Below are 20,679 nucleotides of genomic sequence, written 5' to 3' on the forward strand. Positions count from 1 at the left end.
AAACTCCTTTTACTATATTCCATGCTTGCTATTTCCTTTTTATTTACTTTATTATAATATATTTAACAAGCCTAGTTATGTACATGGATGTTATGGGTTTTTCAGAATATAAGGGGTCACTACAAAATAATACAATTACTCTTACAGGCCCATACATTTAAATATCCTCATTTCTTTATTCTATAATTGCATTGTAAGCATTATATATTTATACAATTGTTTATCATGAGGCTGGAGGCAGCTCACAAATTTATATACAATACAAAATATAAAATAAATTATTGACTCTCTCCAGAGTCACTGATCTCTGGGAGCTCAGAGTTTAATTGGGAAGAGAAATGTGGAGACCCACATACACCTTGGAAAGGCGTATCAGCAGAGAAGCAATGTGAAAGAGATATGGGCAATTGGTGTCAAAATTCTGAACAGAGGGACACTGCCTCTGACTTGGAAGACTAATGGTGGAAGTGCATTTGATCTGGGTCTGGACGGGTTGATAGGATTATGGATATTGTGGTGTAGAGGTAGGGAGTAGACGGAGAGGATTCAGGAAGGAGCCTCCCAAGGCGCAGAATCAGTGGTGGGACAGCCAGGACATGCTATGATGGCAACACGGGCCAGAGAGTGGGTTTCTTAGAGTGGGATGTAAAGCCAAAAAACTGAATTTACTTCTTTTGGAAAGCAAGACATTTTCTGTATAATTCACAGTATATCCTGAGAAAAATCTGAGTGGTGAGGTTACTAAAATGCAAGGTTTATTGTTTAGAGCGGTGTGTTTTTCTACACTACCAGAGCAGAGTGAGAAATAATGTAATATTTTGATTACAAATAACAGCACAAGTTGTTTTCATGATAGGCTAATTTTAAAAATGGCTGCGGAGTGAAGGTTAAAAAATCATGCTTTTACAGTGAAGTCATCAATCTCTTCATTATTTTAGTTACATTCCCTTTTTAACAAATCCTTTCCTTTACTGTTTCAAAACATTTGAGGCAGACAACTTCTAATAATAAATGAATTCACATACACCTAAAATGACTTAAAATCTAAGAAATGATTGCAAAATAAATAGTTAAACTGAATATTAAAACAACAAAGCTATAAGATACTGCTAAATCCTTCTTGACATTCGGCACATAGCTAGAACATAATAAATAAAATATTAGTCTTAGACTTCCCCTCATTTGTGAATCAATAATTTCTAATAAAGTTCATGAAATGGCATGTCAACATGAAATTTAAGTACATTTTTAATATAACACTGAAGTAATAAAACCTACACGGAAGTCGAGAAAGTAGATTAGCTATTCTGCCCTCTCCAAGCTTGACACTTAGGCAAGAGTAACTTTTCTCTTGATATCTTAAATGTTTGTTATTTTTTAAAAACTAAGAAAGAGAGGCACATAAAAGTGTACAGTCACTGCCTTCTCTCACAGGCCAGTGGGATTAGCATGGACAGACTTTTGGAAAACCCTCAGTGGGGGACTTTGTAACACATGGAAACATTAGATTACATAAGGATTCTGACAATTTTCCCTTTTATGTATTAAATATTTATTTTTCAGATATTCTTAGTAATCATTTAAGCCTTGTATGGAAAGGAAGTAATTTTTGTGTTTCTCTGCTATGTTTAAATTTCTTTCACTCTCCCAGAAGGCTTCATGGCACAGGTGGAAAGAATGTTTTTGGGAATGGGGAAGGTGGGAGCTAGGAGACCCACTGGGAAGCTCACGCCTGGAGAGCGGTCAGTTCTGTGAAGGTGCCAGTGGAGGAACAAATGGGAGGAAGTCACGTTGAACTGGGCAGGAAACCGGGAAGGTTAGGGGAGGGAGAGGAGCCAGGCCCCAGGGCCAGCTGTTGGCCTATAGAGCATCTGTAGTGACAAAGAGCAAAGGCCGCAAGGTCAGACTACCAGAGTCAAGTCCCAGGCTTAGTACTTACTGACTCTGTAACTTCGGGAAGTCACTTACCCTCTCTACACTTCTGGTTCCTCATTTACCATATGAAGAAAATAATAGTCATATCTACCTCATAGTATCGTTGTGAGGATTACATTAAATAGATTGAATTAATACATATAAAGTATGTAGAGTGGAGACAGACACAAGGCACATGGTAAGCGATCCATAAACTTTAACCATAATTATTAGAGTTATAGGTGCTCTTAGGGAAGGGGCAGGTAGTTGGAGAGGGCAGCCTCAGCTTGGATGTGTGGTGTCGCTAGTGCCATCCCAACTCCTTTCTCTGGGAAATGTTGGGGCCCCTAAGTGCACAGTAATACCAGTTGTGCAGGCAGCACACTTATATAGTTGTTCCTCAGTTACCATCCCTGTCTTCAAAACACCAAATCTATCTGTATGTTCCTAAAACTAGCACTTGTATATAATTGTTCACACCACTCCCAATAGTGATGATGGGAGTTTCTCCCTGACCCACAAGGTATTAGATTGTATTAAATGTGTTGTACAAGCTTGTAGTAGGTGAAAGCAGCAAAGAAGATCTTCTTGCTGGATCATAGTTATATTATCCCCTCCAGCCCCAGAAATTGCTCTTCATGTCTATTCTGTGCTATTCATGTCTATTCTTCATGTCTTGCTGGTCCAGGCAGTTGGGAATAAATGGATGCAAGGAAGTGACTAGGTCCTTTAGAATCCAGCGCAAGATTTGACAAAGCTGCTGACGGTGTTGCAATGTAAGCGTTCCTAACAACAGGTCAGAGCTTTTAAATTGAGGAGTTTGGACTCAAGGGGAAAATATCACTGCAGTTACTCTGAATTCCTTTTTTAATATTTTTAATTGACAAATTACAATTGTATAGATGTATGGGGTATAAGGTGATGATTTGATACATGCATACAATGTGGAATGATTAAATCAAGCTAATTGACATATCCATCACCTCACTTACTTACCGTTTTTTGCATTGGAAATTTGAAATTTACTCTTACTTTGAAATACATAATACAGTATTATTGACTGTAGTCACCCTACTTGTGCAGTAGATCTCAAAACTTATTTCTCTTGTCCAGTTGAAACTTTATACCCTTTGACCAACAACTTCCTTTCCTCCCTCACCCTACCCCACTCCCAGCTGCTGGTAATATTCAGAATTATTAAGGAATAAGATGATCCATATGAAAAAAATTCTGGAAAAATTGAGTTTGTAACATTAGTTTTACAAATTAATTGTTATTATAACCATTTAGGCTAAGAAGATAGGTAGGCAATTGATTAAGGCTTTAGGGTCCAAGGCATGGGCTCAAGTTTTGCAATAACACCTACTAGTTGTGTGGTCATATTGGATTCATATTGCCTAAGACATAGTGGCCTCATTTTGAAATTATGAGTTGGATTTAAAACATCCACCTCGTAAGGAAACTATAAGGATAGATGCTTGACAGGGCACGTAGCATACAATATTACTTACATAGCAGAACGTTGGCAACACACTAAATGTCCAATAATAAGTGAATGGTTGAATAAATTACGGTATAGCTATATGATGTTCATTAGTTAACAAACCATTCTACCACTGATGAACAAGTGATTACAATCAGCTGAGATCCAAAACTATGAGGAAGTCTTAATTTTGTTGAGTGGAAATAATAATTACAATAATTAATATTTATATAGTGCCTATATGCCAGGCCCTATTAAAGTCCTGTACGTGTTACTCATTAAATCCTTACAACAACCCGAAGAGAGAGCTACTATCGTCAGCCCCATTTACCACATGAGGCTACCATGGCAAAGTAAAGATTAAGAAACATGTCCAGCTAGTAAGTGATCAGGCCAGAGTCAGGGTAAAGGAATTGGGGGATTTGTGTGTAGTTAGGAAGTAAGGAGGATGAAAGATGGCTCCTCCAGGTCTCATCAAGCTTTGTGATTTCCTAGACAAATGCAGGAAGATTTGGCTATGTTGCAGATGAATAAAACACACCATTATTACATTGTTGGCATAATAGCAGCTGGCCCGAAATACAAATGGAAACTGTCATACTCAGAGTGGAAAGCCCTTCCAGTGTCCAGACTGGCAGCAGATGATTCTGCACTCCCAATATCCAGTTGTAGACTGTTTTCTGCCTGCCTGCTCTACACTGCCTGCCTTTATTGAACACAAACTGTGACGTACTGAAGAAATCCAAGATAAATTTGTAAAACATCATGTCAGTCCCTTTCTAGTCCCAGTATCCCCTGGTGATCCAAGGTTGGGGTCTAAAAAATAGAACAGAAAAAAGAAGAGGAAACAGACACTAACTTGCCACAGATACACATAGAGTGAAGGAGATATTTTTGTTTAAAAGACTGACAGCTGAGAAACAGTTATTTGATCCCTGCTGCTTGAGGGACAGTAGGGAAAGAAAGGTATTTTTGTGATCGCTCTTCAGCGTTCCCTATGCGGCCTGGTTCATACAGTCACAACAAAAACCCACGCTCTAATAGTACATTGCAACCAACCACAGATATGTTGCAAGCATTATGCACAGTAGTAACTAACATTCAGTTTCCTTTTGATTACTTCCAGGCCTGTGACATTTAGATTGTTGCACATTTCTTCCAACCTCAGAGCATTCAGAGTCAACAGCGTACATCTAATAATCATGTGCTGACATAGAAACTGTAAGGAGTTTGTGCCATTTATCTGTCTTTCATCACACTAAGGGTAACAGAGCAAATGAGCACCGTGTTAGGAGTCCAAATACATGAGTTTTGGGCTAAACCTTGTCACTAACTAGCTGTGGCCTTGAGCATGCCATTTAATCTCCGTGGGGCCTCTGGTTCCCTTTTGTGGAATGAGGAGAGAGTTTTGGGTCTCCAGGACTCCTTTCAACTCCAGTGTTCTGTACTAAGTCATCAGTGAGTTCTGGCTAGTAATAGTTTCAAAAGGTAATAGTGCTCATCACATTCCACCGAGTAAAATCATAGAGCAGAAACACCAAGAAAGTGGACATCCCAGCTGCTTTTAACGTTTACTCATCAACAGGGCTTGGCTCAAATAGTTCTGAAAGTAATCCATGCATAACATTTCTGAAAGGGGAAGTAAGAATGTCATCTTGCATTTGAACATTTTAAATGTCAAACCCTCTGCATTGTTAGTATTTATAAAGTTATCTCTATGGCATTATCACTATCAAAGTAATCAATCATAGATTTATTGAGAAATATAAACATCAATGTTTTTTATCTCACCTAAGTATTTTCTGTGCTAAATTTTATTCTGTTGCAGCATACTTGACAATTAGTGATTTGTAGGCTTGGTTAGCACATGCATACTTTTTAAGCAAACTAATGTAATGTGAGAGAACAGTTTTCAGTATTTCCCTCTATTGGTATTTGTGGGTGCCCTTCAAACTACTACACCAAGCTACACAAACCAACTATCACAAATGGACTGTTTGCCAAATGCCTGCTTCCCTAGTAAGGAGGCAACGTGTTACTGACACCCTTATGTGTAGAAGGTCTTATGTAGAGAGACTTATGAAATGCATATCTGGATTCCTATATTTTTTCACTGAAGTCTAACAAATTCATGTAGTCAAATCTTAGGAAAGGAAGTGTGTTTGGTAGTTTGAGCCTGCTGTCTTTACAGGCTCAGTGTGTCTTCTGTGAAAGACCAAATATCATCCCAGTGGACCTGACCTAGTTGAACATAAATACACCATTGAGGAGCTACTGGCTTCAGAATTAATAAAATGTATAAATAAATAGGATGGCCTTGTGAAGAGGCTAAACTTGAAGTGCCTATTAATTAATTTTTTAAAAAGAAAAACAGCAGCTTATAGCTACTCTACTGATACATTAATCTATGAAATGAAATTGTATCATAGAAAGCATTCAGATTATTTATATTATTCGTATTTTATAAGATTTTTAAATGTGTTTAACCTAGAAGGGATCATAATGCAGAGCCTTATGCTTTTCATAAGATACTGATAGAGTGTAGAGGCATCCGAGTAATTTGGCATTTTCGCTTTTTATTCATAAGGCCCCTGAGTATGTGTGAATGTGTTTGTAAATATATCTCAATTTCAGTTTTTGTCATTCAGAGAATATACAACAGTTCTTCTGACTAGTCCCAACAACACAACCCAATGTGTGTCTGAATTGATCACTATTTTAAAATCTAGAGAGCTGGGCAGTCTCTGTGCTCTTGGGCCTGCAGGTGAAGCTCATTAAAGAATCAATCACCAGTGAGGGCAACCGCCCAGGCCCTCACTTCATTTGATAATATTATCCAGAAAAGAGGAATATTTTTCAGTTCTTTCTCACCTAGGCAGAATTTTGAGAAGTAACCATGAAAGATGAGACTGAGAGTTATAATTGGGCCTTTAGTATAGACAAATTGTACTGTGTCGTTTTAGTTTTTATTTTAAATCCCCCTAAAAGGTCACTGGATACAAAGACAATCTCTGAGTTTATTGAAGGGAAAGCCACAAAGCTGTTATATACAGCTCTATCTATGCCTATTTGTATTTCACAGTCTTTTGTCACCGAACAACACACAGACAAAATGGAATTCAATCTCAGAATTTCTTTACTGTCTTCTAAAGATTTTCTTCATGGACTTGTTTCCAACCAACGTTGAAAAATAGTTCTAATTTTTTAAAAAAGGAGAAACAAAGGGCTCTCCACATTTGCCTTATTATATGACGTCTTTTCTGCACTCACAGTAGCAAATGTTAGAAGTACATTTCAAGTTGCAATTCACCTGGATAAATGTCAACATGAGGCCATAAGGTAGCTTTTCAGCTTCCTCTCCTGGAAAGTGCTTTGGACATGGCAGCCATTGCTACATTCACACTGAAACAGCTAACTGCCCAGCTGATTGTTCTTATATAATGTAGATAGGGTCATGGCTCCAACGTGAGCCAGTCTCAGTGCGCATGTTGGAGTTATTTCCTGGGTGACTAATTAGCTCTCAACCTGGTATCTTCATTTTGGATCCCAAATGATCCAAGTGGACACCATGATGTTGCCCCCAAATAATAGATGGCTTCAGGCCCTCTGATGCAAAGAGAGGCCGTACAGCCGACTGCCTACATGTGAATGCTAGGTTTGCCATTTTGTTGCTGTGCAAATCACTTAACCTCTTAGGAAATAATATTTTCATCTTAAAAAAATGGGAAAAGAATAGTGTCTACCACATAGGGTAAAAAATGAAATTGTTGTGTAGAAGGTAGTTGGCTGTTCACATTTTACAAGATTAGAAAATGTATTTAACCCAAAGTGAGATTATAATGCAGAGCCTTATATTTTGGAAGAGGGTGCTATAACCTAAAAACTGATAATTGGGGCCGGGCATGTTGGCTTATGCCTGTAATCCCAGCACTTTGGGAGGCCAAGGTGGCTGGATCACGAGGTCAGGAGATCGAGACCACCCTGGCCAACATGGTAAAACCCCGTCTCTACTAAAAATACAAAAATTAGCTGGGCGTGGTGGCGCACGTCTGTAATCCCAGCTACTCGGGATACTGAGGCAGGAGAATTGCTTGAACCCGGGAGGCGGAGGTCGCAGTGAGCCGAGACCATGCCACTGCATTCCAGCCTGGCGACAGTGTGAGACTCTGTCTCAAAAAAAAAAAAAAAAGATAATTGGGCCACTTTACATATGGTTATGTGAATTAAATAAATTAACTTTTGTAATGTAGTTAGAACAGGGCCTGGCACATAGGAAACATTTTGTTAGTATTAGTTATCATTAACATAAATTCAGGTATATATTTATTACAGTCAAGAAACCTCTTACAGAGTTATAATTGAGAAATTAAAATATAACACAAATTTTTAAAGCTGTTTAAAGTTTCACCTTACTTGCCAGGCATGATGCTATTCACCTTTTATCTATTATCTTTTTAAAGATTATATGATGCATTGGGGAACATGAATTTTTCTCTCTTAAAAAGAAATTAAACAATAGGTAATAAAGGAGCAGATGTTTTCTATTTTACATGTAGACCAAATATCCACTAACACAAGTTACATTTTATTTCTTAATTAAGTATCACACTTTATACCATCATGCTTCATACCTCTCAACATTTTAAAAGTCTTTTCTCATTTAGGAATTCATTTTTTATTAACGGGTTTTGAGATGTAGATAAGACAAGGGAGATTATTATTTTCAATTCACAAATGAGGACATTAAAGTTTTGTGAAACTGAAGGGAAGTGACCATCCAGAGTCATAAAACAAGTTCATGGTCCAGGATCACAGCCATGATCCGGCCCCCTCCCCCTCCACTGTGCTGGGCCGTGGACTCATCTGCTTCATACACATCTGCTGAACAGTTATTTCCAAGCACTGAATAGAAACCATCAGCCTCGCATGTTTTCCATAGCTGTTGATTGTGCTCCTACTCTTCGTTCATCTTGTGGATAATAAATCCATCCATTTAAAGACAAGAAGAATTCAGTGTTCAGCTATGGTCTGCTACACACATGTCCACTTTCCTTACATTTTCTTTGAACAGAACACAGTAAAATCTATTGTACAGCTCACCGGCGTGATACCGCTTTGATAGACACCGAGTGACCTAATATACACACTCCAGTGTACTCTAATCTGTGGTCTCCCAGCTCCCACTCGGCAGGAATTCTGAGATGTTGATGGAACCCCATGATTTAACAGAGCAGCTGGGCTGCCCTTTCACCCCTCACACTGGTTCTGACAGCTGCCTGCCATGTGTAGAGAAAACCTCACAGGCTGAAACCCTGTCACAGAGTAAAGGTCCTTGAATAAACATACAAGCATGATCATGCTACTACTCTAAAATTAAATTGTTTTTTTAAACTGAATTTGCAGTAGGGACATTTTACAGCTGAAGATCTAAAGCACCCCAAAGCGGGCCAAGTACCCTCTCCCTTTAAAAATAAAACAAAATAATACACACAGTAAGCCTGGTCTTGTTCACACTTATTTGAGTTACCAGTTTTTCCTCAAGTGGATTAAGCCAATTTACCAATGACCAGGTTTTTCTACTCTGAAACAGTAACAAGCCTGCCAGAAATGATGTGCAGCATTTTCCTGGCTTAGTTCAGAAACTCGATTTGTGTTTAAGCTGTCAATTTAATCCACACTGCCTTTTTACTTTTATCAGGATATTCTTCAGGTAGAAAAGAATGGAGGGAGGCTTTAGGCATGACTACCGTCCTAAGTATAAAGTTGGTTAAAAAAACAAAAATCCCTACTCGGCCCAAATAGCATTGTGCTTTATAATTCATTCTTTTCACATACAGTACCCTGCGTTATCATGGCTAATGTTTTCCTGCTGAGCTGCCATCATCTTTTGTCAAGCTGTCAGGGTTTTAAATTGAGGTACCTTCCACATTTGGATAGAGGTCATTATCCTGTTGCCTGGTTGCATTGCCTCTGCTGAGCAGGTTAACTGCTTGAGGTCTTTTATCTAGATAAATGTTTTGCCAGCACTTTTGCTCTGTGATGACACGAGCTGTTCCTTAGAGGTCAAATAGTGATGCTATGATAAGTTGTTCCCCGTGTGTTCACAGATATGGAAAGGACTGGAGTCCAAACTTCATTAATAGTCCTAAAAATAATAATAAATGCTCATTTTAGCATATTTCTCCACAAGATACTGGATTTTGGGGCTCTTTTAACATTCCCTACATGCTAATTTTATATACTGGGAAAAATAATGCCTTTTAACTATTTTATTGTTTCAGTATCATGAATGACTCCACCAAGTGTGTCCGAATCTACTGCTTAGTTCTGATGATGGCAGAAATAAATCAATGTGGGTGTGTGTAATAATAATGTATATTGTTATTTGCATGGGTTACCATTATTAAAATAATATTTAGAGTGAAGACCATGATATTTGACACCTTGGTACTCCTGTCCACATAGAAAAATTATTTTTAAAGTGGAGAGATAGAAATAAATCATTTCCCCTCAGTGAAAATTGATTTGTTAATTAAAAATAATTTTGATTAGCTTGTATTCAATTATTTACAATGAAGAATACCAAATAAAAAGGAAAATAATTTTAAATGATTTTGTCATAACCAATTAACTTTTACAAAAAACTCGTTTGTAAATTCTGTTTTCAATCTTTTTTTTTTTCTTTTTTTTTTTTTTTGAGACACAGTCTCACTCTGCCACCCAGGCTGGAGTTCAGTGGCATGATCTCAGCTCACTGCAACCTCCACCTCCCGGGTTCAAGTGATTCTTCTGCCTCAGCCTCCTAAGTAGCTGGGACTACAGGTGTGCACCACCATACCCAGCTAATTTTTGTATTTTTTAGTAGAGACAGGGTTTCACCATGTCAGCCAGGCTGGTCTCAAACTCCTGACCTCAGATGATTTGGTGATCCACCCACCTCAGTCTCCCATCAATCCAATTTTTAAAAACTGGCTTTTCCGGGCTGGGTGCAGTGGCTCACACCTGTAATCCCAGCACTGTGGGAGGCCGAGGCAGGCAGATCACAAGGTCAGAAGATTGAGACCATCCTCGCTAACACAGTGAAACCCCATCTCTACTAAAAATACAAAAAAATTAGCTGGGCGTGGTGGCGGGCGCCTGTAATCCCGGCTACTCAGGAGGCTGAGGCAGGAGAATGGCTTGAACCCGGGAGGTGGAGCTTGCAGTGAGCCGAGATCGCGCCACTGCACTCCAGCCTGGGTGACAGGGCAACACTGCATCTAAAAAAAATTAAAAAATAAAAATAAACTGACTTTTCCATTTGAAGCAGACTTCATCTCCATATTTGCTATGACTAGTGTTGTTATATGAACTAAAAGATGCTTTTATTAGTATGTAGAATAATGTTTTTTAATATTGGAGAAAATACCACTTGAAACTATGGTCTCTTAAAATGTAAGCACATAAAAACACATGGAAATAACTTTCTTGACACTACATAATTTGAGGCCAAACTTCTCTGCTCAGATTTAATCTTTGACTAACTCATTTTCTAATGGATGGTTTATTTAGTGTTGTCTTTTGTTTTTTGTTTTTTTGAGATGGAGTCTCACTCTGTCGCCGAGGCTGGAGTGCAGTGGCATGATCTCAGCTCACTGCAACCTCCACCTCCTGGATTCAAGCGATTCTTCTGCCTCAGCCTCCCAAGTAGCTGGGACCACAGGGATGCACCACCACACCCAGCTAATTTTTGTATTTTTAGCAGAGACCTGGTTTCACCATGTTGGTTAGGCTGGTCTCGAACTCCTGACCTCAAATGATCCACCCACCTCGACCTCTCAAAGTACTGGGATGTGAGCCACTGCACCCGGCCCATATTTAGTGCTGTCTTTTAAAAATGTGTACTGTTATTTTCTACAGTTGATTAGATTTTTAAATTGTTTTATGATAGAGGATCAGTTGTGTGCAGTCCACAAATTTTATCATAAAACAAAATTTAAATCCTGCCTAGAGGTAGCATCTTATTATTGTGCTTGGGTTTATGAGGTTAAATGCAGTGATAAATTTATTCACTTACCCAGTAAGATCTGTTAAGAGGTATAGAGACAAACATGAATGAGACAGAGTCCCACCTTCACTGGAAGATTCTGAATTCTCTTTCATATCCATTATTTATTATTTGCGTAGTTGCCCAAGCTAGAAAGCTCAGTATCTTCCATGACTTGCCGCATCTTTTAACCAGACATTAAGTGAGCCACCAGGACCTGTTCATTTGCCTCCTAAATATTGTCTTAAAATCCATTTTCTCTCCTCCACCCCCCATTGTCTGGTCGCCTTAGCTGAGGCCCTCTTTATCCTTCATCTGCTTCCTAAATGGACTTCCTCCCTCTGGTTATTCCTACTCCTTACCACTGCCCATTTTCCTCACTGCTAGAAGATATTTATTTCCAAAACTCCAAATCTAAGCAGTCACTTCCTGATTAGAAATGTTCCAGTGGGTCCCATAGGCTAGATGGTGAAGTAAATAATTCAGAGGGCTGCATGATCTGTCCCTGATTGCTCTTTCCACCTAATCCCTAAAACCCACTCTGTGTTCCCCACACACAGTTGCTTGGGGTACAGAACATGCCTCACTCTCCTGTTCCACCAGACTGAGCTCCCTACTGTGGAAATGCCGTCCTTCCTTATTCTCTTAGACTTATTTCTCTAAGAAGCCTTTTTTTCACTTCTCCAGGAAGAGGTAATTGTTCTTCCTCTTTGACCTTGTACCTTACTCTTTCACTCACATCAGATTTTATTTTTATTAATTATATGTCTCCCCCATGAAATTATGAATTCCTGTTAGGTATGTTTCACATCCCATTCCTGTAGTTTTTGAACGAGGATGAAGGTACCCCTCATGCCCAAACTTTCTTAATTTTCCCATGTTGTTCTAAAATTCATCTGCTTGAGAATACCTGCTGCTCCTTCTTTTCTAATGGCCTTTCTTCTCCTTTACCAAAGAAAATGTCATCTGTCCCCATCTTACTGGGTAGAATTGTCTTGAGCTGTGCAAACTTCCATATAACAAACAAAAGGTTACATTCACTTACTGGTGTCAGAAAAGCCTCCATGTAATCAAACCAGGTTCATTCTAGCAGTTAGTACTTATTCTGTTCTTCCAGGGATGCATCAACTAAGTTGGGGAGAAGAGAAGTCATCCTCATTCACCTCATTAAGAGGTACATTCCCAATTAAAGTCCAGTTTTGGGGTGCGATGGCACACTCCTGTCATCCCAGCTTCTAGGGAGGTTGGAGCAATGGGATCACTTGAGCCCAGGAATTCAAGACCAGCCTGGGCAAAAGAGTAAGACTGCATCTCTTAAAAAAAAAAAGGTGGGGAGGAGCCAAGATGGCCGAATAGGAACAGCTCCGGTCTATAGCTCCCAGCCTAAGCAACGCAGAAGACTGGTGATTTCTGCATTTCCATCTGAGGTACCGGGTTCATCTCACTAGGGAGTGCCAGACAGTGGGCGCAGGTCAGTGGGTGCATGCACCGTGCGCGAGCCGAAGCAGGGCGAGGCATTGCCTCACTTGGGAAGCACAAGGGGTCAGGGAGTTCCCTTTCTGAGTCAAAGAAAGGGGTGACGGACGGCACCTGGAAAATCGGGTCACTCCCACCCCAATACCGCGCTTTTCCGATGGGCTTAAAAAACGGCTCACCACGAGATTATATCCCGCACCTGGCTCGGAGGGTCCTACGCCCACGGAGTCTCGCTGATTGCTAGCACAGCAGTCTGAGATCAAACTGCAAGGCGGCAGCGAGGCTGGGGGAGGGGCACCCGCCATTGCACAGGCTTGATTAGGTAAACAAAGCAGCCAGGAAGCTCCAACTGGGTGGAGCCCACCACAGCTCAAGGAGGCCTGCCTGCCTCTGTAGGCTCCACCTCTGGGGGCAGGGCACAGACAAACAAAAAGATAGCAGTAACCTCCGCAGACTTAAATGTCCCTGTATGACAGCTTTGAAGAGAGCAGTGGTTCTCCCAGCATGCAGCTGGAGATCTGAGAACGGGCAGACTGCCTCCTCAAGTGGGTCCCTGACCCCTGACCCCTGAGCAGCCTAACTGGGAGGCACCCCCCAGCAGGGGCACACTGACACCTCACACGGCAGGGTATTCCAACAGACCTGCAGCTGAGGGTCCTCTCTGTTAGAAGGAAAACTAACAAACAGAAAGGACATCCACACCAAAAACCCATCTGTACATCACCATCATCAAAGATCAAAAGTAGATAAAACCACAAAGATGGGGAAAAAACAGAACAGAAAAACTGAAAACTCTAAAACGCAGAGCGCCTCTCCTCCTCCAAAGGAACACAGTTCCTCACCAGCAACGGAACAAAGCTGGATGGAGAATGACTTTGACGAGCTGAGAGAAGAAGGCTTCAGACGGTCAAATTACTCTGAGCTACAGGAGGACATTCAAACCAAAGGCAAAGAAGTTGAAAACTTTGAAAAAAATTTAGAAGAATGTATAACTAGAATAACCAATAGAGAGAAGTGCTTAAAGGAGCTGATGGAGCTGAAAACCAAGGCTCGAGAACTACGTGAAGAATGCAGAAGCCTCAGGAGCCGATGCGATCAACTGGAAGAAAGGGTATCAGCAATGGAAGATGAAATGAATGAAATGAAGTGAGAAGGGAAGTTTAGAGAAAAAAGAATAAAAAGAAATGAGCAAAGCCTCCAAGAAATATGGGACTATGTGAAAAGACCAAATCTACGTCTGATTGGTGTACCTGAAAGTGATGTGGAGAATGGAACCAAGTTGGAAAACACTCTGCAGGATATTATCCAGGAGAACTTCCCCAATCTAGCAAGGAAGGCCAACATTCAGATTCAGGAAATACAGAGAACGCCACAAAGATACTCCTTGAGAAGAGCAACTCCAAGACACATAATTGCCAGATTCACCAAAGTTGAAATGAAGGAAAAAATGTTAAGGGCAGCCAGAGAGAAAGGTCGGGTTACCCTCAAAGGGAAGCCCATCAGACTAACAGCGGATCTCTCGGCAGAAACCCTACAAGCCAGAAGAGAGTGGGGGCCAATATTCAACATTCTTAAAGAAAAGAATTTTCAACCCAGAATTTCATATCCAGCCAAACTAAGCGTCATAAGTGAAGGAGAAATAAAATAGTTTACAGACAAGCAAATGCTGAGAGATTTTTGTCACCACCAGGCCTGCCTTACAAGAGCTCCTGAAGGAAGCACTAAACATGGAAAGGAACAACCGGTATCAGCTGCTGCAAAATCATGCCAAAATGTAAAGACCATCGAGACTAGGAAGAAACTGCATCAACTAACGAGCAAAATAACCAGCTAACATCATCATGACAGGATCAAATTCACACATAACAATATTAACTTTAAATGTAAATGGACTAAATGCTCCAATTGAAAGACACAGACTGGCAAATTGAATAAAGAGTCAAGACCCATCAGTGTGCTGTATTCAGGAAACCCATCTCACGTGCAGAGACACACATAGGCTCAAAATAAAAGGATGGAGGAAGATCTACCAAGCCAATGGAAAACAAAAAAAGGCAGGGGTTGCAATCCTAGTTTCTGATAAAACAGACTTTAAACCAACAAAGATCAAAAGAGACAAAGAAGGCCATTACATAATGGTAAAGGGATCAATTCAACAAGAAGAGCTAACTATCCTAAATATATATGCACCCAATACAGGAGCACCCAGATTCATAAAGCAAGTCCTGAGTGACCTACAAAGAGACTTAGACTCCCACACATTAATAATGGGAGACTTTAACACCCCACTGTCAACATTAGACAGATCAATGAGACAGAAAGTCAACAAGGATACCCAGGAATTGAACTCAGCTCTGCACCAAGCGGACCTAATAGACATCTACAGAACTCTCCACCCCAAATCAACAGAATACACATTCTTTTCAGCACCACACCACACCTATTCCAAAATTGACCACATACTTGGAAGTAAAGCTCTCCTCAGCAAATGTAAAAGAACAGAAATTATAACAAACTATCTCTCAGACCACAGTGCAATCAAACTAGAACTCAGGATTAAGAATCTCACTCAAAACTGCTCAACTACATGGAAACTGAACAACCTGCTCCTGAATGACTACTGGGTACATAATGAAATGAAGGCATAAATAAAGATGTTCTTTGAACGCAACGAGAGCAAAGACACAACATACCAGAATCTCTGGGACGCATTTAAAGTAGTGTGTAGAGGGAAATTTATAGCACTAAATGCCCACAAGAGAAAGCAGGAAAGATCCAAAATTGACACCCTAACATCACAATTAAAAGAACTAGAAAAGCAAGAGCAAACACATTCAAAAGCTAGCAGAAGCAAGAAATAACTAAAATCAGAGCAGAACTGAAGGAAATAGAGACCAAAAAAACCCTTCAAAAAATTAATGAATCCAGGAGCTGGTTTTTTGAAAGGATCAACAAAATTGATAGACTGCTAGCAAGACTAATAAAGAAAAAAAGAGAGAAGAATCAAATAGACACAATAAAAAATGATAAAGGGCATATCACCACCGATCCCACAGAAATACAAACTACCATCAGAGAATACTACAAACACCTCTATGCAAATAAACTAGAAAATCTAGAAGAAATGGATAAATTCCTCGACACATACACTCTCCCAAGACTAAACCAGGAAAAAGTTGAATCTCTGAATAGACCAATAACAGGAGCTGAAATTGTGGCAATAATCAATAGCTTACCAACCAAAAAGGGTCCAGGACCAGATGGATTCACAGCCGAATTCTACCAGAGGTACAAGGAGGAACTGGTACCATTCCTTCTGAAACTATTCTAATCAATAGAAAAGGAGGGAATCCTCCCTAACTCATTTTATGAGGCCAGCATCATTCTGATACCAAAGCCAGGCAGAGACACAACCAAAAAAGAGAATTTTAGACCAATATCCTTGATGAACATTGATGCAAAAATCCTCAATAAAATACTGGCAAACTGAATCCAGCAGCACATCAAAAAGCTTATCCACCATGATCAAGTGGGCTTCATCCCTGGGATGCAAGGCTGGTTCAATATATGCAAATCAATAAATGTAATCCAGTATATAAACAGAGCCAAAGACAAAAACCACATGATTATCTCAATAGATGCAGAAAAAGCCTTTGACAAAATTCAACAACCCTTCATGCTAAAAACTCTCAATAAATTAGGTATTGATGGGACGTATTTCAAAATAATAAGAGCTATCTATGACAAACCCACAGCCAATATCATACTGAATGGGCAAAAACTGGAAGCATTCCCTTTGAAAACTGGCACAAGACAGGGATACCCTCTCTCACCACTCCTATTCAACATAGTGTTGGAAGTTCTGGCCAGGGCAATCAGGCAGGAGAAGGAAATAAAGGGTATTCAATTAGGAAAAGAGGAAGTCAGATTGTCCCTGTTTGCAGACGACATGATTGTATATCTAGAAAACCCCATTGTCTCAGCCCGAAATCTCCTTAAGCTGATAAGCAACTTCAGCAAAGTCTCAGGATACAAAATCAACGTACAAAAATCACAAGCATTCTTATACACCAACAACAGACAAACAGAGAGCCAAATCATGAGTGAACTCCCATTCACAATTGCTTCAAAGAGAATAAAATACCTAGGAATCCAACTTACAAGGGATGTGAAGGACCTCTTCAAGGAGAACTACAAACCACTGCTCAAGGAAATAAAAGAGGATACAAACAAATGGAAGAACATTCCATGCTCATGGGTAGGAAGAATCAATATTGTGAAAATGGCCATACTGCCCAAGGTAATTTATAGATTCAATGCCATCCCCATCAAGCTACCAATGCCTTTCTTCACAGAATTGGAAAAAACTACTTTAAAGTTCATATGGAACCAAAAAAGAGCCCGCATCACCAAGTCAATCCTAAGCCAAAAGAACAAAGCTGGAGGCATCACACTACCTGACTTCAAACTATACTACAAGGCTACAGTAACCAAAACAGCATGGTACTGGTACCAAAACAGAGATATAGATCAATGGAACAGAACAGAGCCCTCAGAAATAACACCGCATATCTACAACTATCTGATCTTTGACAAACCTGAGAAAAACAAGCAATGGGGAAAGGATTCCCTATTCAATAAATGGTGCTGGGAAAACTGGCTAGCCATATGTAGAAAGCTGAAACTGGATCCCTTCCTTACACCTTATACAAAAATGAATTCAAGATGGATTAAAGACTTAAACGTTAGACCTAAAACCATAAAAACCCTAGAAGAAAACCTAGGCATTACCATTCAGGACATAGGCATGGGCAAGGACTTCATGTCTAAAACACCAAAAGCAATGGCAACAAAAGCCAAAATTGACAAATGGGATCTAATTAAACTAAAGAGCTTCTGCACAGCAAAAGAAACTACCATCAGAGTGAACAGGCAACCTACAAAATGAGAGAAAATTTTCACAACCTACTCATATGACAAAGGGCTAATATCCAGAATCTACAACAAACTCAAACAAATTTACAGGAAAAAAACAACCCCATCAAAAGGTGGGCGAAGGACATGAACAGACACTTCTCAAAAGAAGACATTTATGCAGCCAAAAAACACATGAAAAAATGCTCATCATCACTGGCCATCAGAGAAATGCAAATCAAAACCACTATTAGATACCATCTCACACCAGTTAGAATGGCAATCATTAAAAAGTCAGGAAACAACAGGTGCTGGAGAGGATGTGGAGAAATAGGAACACTTTTACACTGTTGATGGGACTGTAAACTAGTTCAACCATTGTGGAAGTCAGTGTGGCGATTCCTCAGGGATCTAGAACTAGAAATACCATTTGACCCAGCCATCCCATTACTGGGTATATACCAAAGGACTATAAATCATGCTGCTATAAAGACACATGCACACATCTGTTTATTGCGGCATTATTCACAATAGCAAAGACTTGGAACCAACCCAAATGTCCAACAATGATAGACTGGATTAAGAAAATGTGGCACATATACACCATGGAACAATGATAGACTGGATTAAGAAAATGTGGCACATATACACCATGGAATACTATGCAGCCATAAAAAATGATGAGTTCATGTCCTTTGTAGGGACATGGATGAAACTGGAAATTATCATTCTCAGTAAACTATCACAAGAACAAAAAACCAAACCCCGCATATTCTCACTCATAGGTGGGAATTGAACAATGAGATCACATGGACACAGGAAGGGGAATATCACACTCTGGGGACTGTTGTGGGGTGGGGGGAGGGAGGAGGGATAGCATCGGGAGATATACCTAATGCTAGATGACGAGTTAGTGGGTGCAGCGCACCAGCATGGCACATGTATACATATGTAACTAACCTGCACGATGTGCACATGTACCCTAAAACTTAAAGTATAATTAAAAAAAAAAAATGCAGCCCGGCGCAGTGACTCACGCCTGTAATCCCAGCATTATGGGAGGCCGAGGTGGGCGGATCACGAGGTCAAGAGATGGAGAACATCCTGGCTAACACGGTGAAACCCCGTCTCTACTAAAAATACAAAAAAATTAGCCGGGCGTGGTGGCGGGCGCCTGTAGTCCCAGCTACTTGGGAGGCCAAGGCAGGAGAATGGCATGAACCCAGGAGGCAGAGGTTGCAGTGAGTGGAGATTGCACCACTGCACTCCAGCCTGGGCGACAGAGCGAGACTCCGTCTCAAAAAAAAAAAAGTTTACTTTTATTTTTAATAATTATTTTCGAATTTGTACTATTTTGTTAATTTGATCATTCATGTACCAATATAATTTTAATAATGATTCAATCCAGAAGAAAATCTTAAATGTTTTTAATCTTATTAGGAATTTTTAAAAAATTAGATTCAAACTTATGTACATATTTATGCTATAGAGTATTATAGAGTAATAAATCAAGACATTCCAGAAAAAGAACATATTACATTAGAATAAAATTCTATAAGGGAAGTGCACTGGAAGTACTAAAGGAGAAAAAAGGATCCTTTGTAATGGATTCAGTCTTCAGATTCCCCTTGTCAGCTGAGGTGCAGAAGCACAACCACATGATTAACGCAATCAGAGATCCCCACCTTGAGTAAGCATGATCATTAATGCTTATCATGAAAGATGCTTTGCTAGGGATACAAAATGCATCACAAATTCACATCCCTTCTGCCTTCAAGGAGTTTACCCTTCCTAGTTTTGGAGAAAAGTTTAAATAATAATACAATTTGTGCTGGGTCTATTAAATAGTCATTAAGGTAATATTTAATGATCATGCTTAAATATGCTCTATGCCTATCATTAACTCAAAAAAGCAGGTTGCAAAACAGCTATGTATAGTACAGCCCCATCTCTGTAACGCAAGTATACACATACATGCATAGAAAGAAGACTGAAAAATATCAGCAGAATGTTGACGTTAGTTCTCTCCTGATTGAGTAGGATTACGGGCGAGCAGAATTGTTTTTTTGCTCATTTGTGACTTCTACAATAAAGATCAGGAAAAAGCTGTTGTTGTTATTTTTAATTAAAATAAAACAGCCTATGTGTGTCAGATAAGTAATGGAGTAGATGAGGGTCTCTCCACGAGGTCAGGGAGAAGAACCCATGCCAGGGGTGTTTTGGTCAGAAATGCCTTAAAAGCCAAAGTGGAACTTGACTGGGATTTAGAGGAGGAGAAAGGAAGAGATGAATATTCAAGGAGGCCAAAGGGGCAGACATAGTGCTTTTACATTTTTTTATTATGGAAAATTTTAAACATATGCAAAAGTAGACAGAATGAACTGCCATGTACAGAGCTTCAACAATTACCAACTTTCAGTTCTTTTTTCCTCTGATCTACATGCACTCTCCCCTTCCTACCCAAATTACTTCACAACAAATCCAAGACAACATTGTTTCCTCTTAAATATTTCAGAATGTAGTTCTATAAATACCATCCGTTTTAAACCTAATCACAACACCATGGTCACACTCTCCTGGCCAAAACCAATTTCAGCACTTCCTTAATACTATTAAATATTCAGCTAATGTTTACATTTCTCTGATTGTTCTGTCAACAATGTTTTTAAATTTATTTGAGTCTGAATTTCTTCCCTCCCTCCGTCTCCCTTTTTCTCTCCCTTTCCCTCTATTCACCTTTCTTTCTTCATAAAATTTTGTGGAAGAAGCCAAATGACTTGTCCTTTAGAGTTTCCCACAGTCAGTTTTGCTGATTGCATTCCTGTGGTGTCCTTTAACATGTTCCTCTCTCTCCCATATTTTCTAC

General features: G+C 39.7%; 1 protein-coding gene across 4 annotated transcripts in view, besides 1 other annotated feature; it reads left to right on the plus strand.

Annotated features, from left to right (window-relative positions):
- Window positions 1-20,679, plus strand: part of CDK14 (cyclin dependent kinase 14) — a 614,270-nt gene that overhangs the window by 564,370 nt on the left and 29,221 nt on the right. The gene's annotated exons all lie outside the window — the stretch shown is intronic.
- Window positions 7,866-10,707: an enhancer, noted in NCBI's record as "VISTA enhancer hs1631". NCBI's record gives its function as "enhancer in: somite[10/13]" and the evidence as "EXISTENCE:transgenic organism evidence [ECO:0001131][PMID:17130149]".

The sequence above is a fragment of the Homo sapiens genome, chromosome 7 (assembly GCF_000001405.40).
Source record: "Homo sapiens chromosome 7, GRCh38.p14 Primary Assembly".
Classification (NCBI taxonomy): domain Eukaryota; kingdom Metazoa; phylum Chordata; class Mammalia; order Primates; family Hominidae; genus Homo; species Homo sapiens.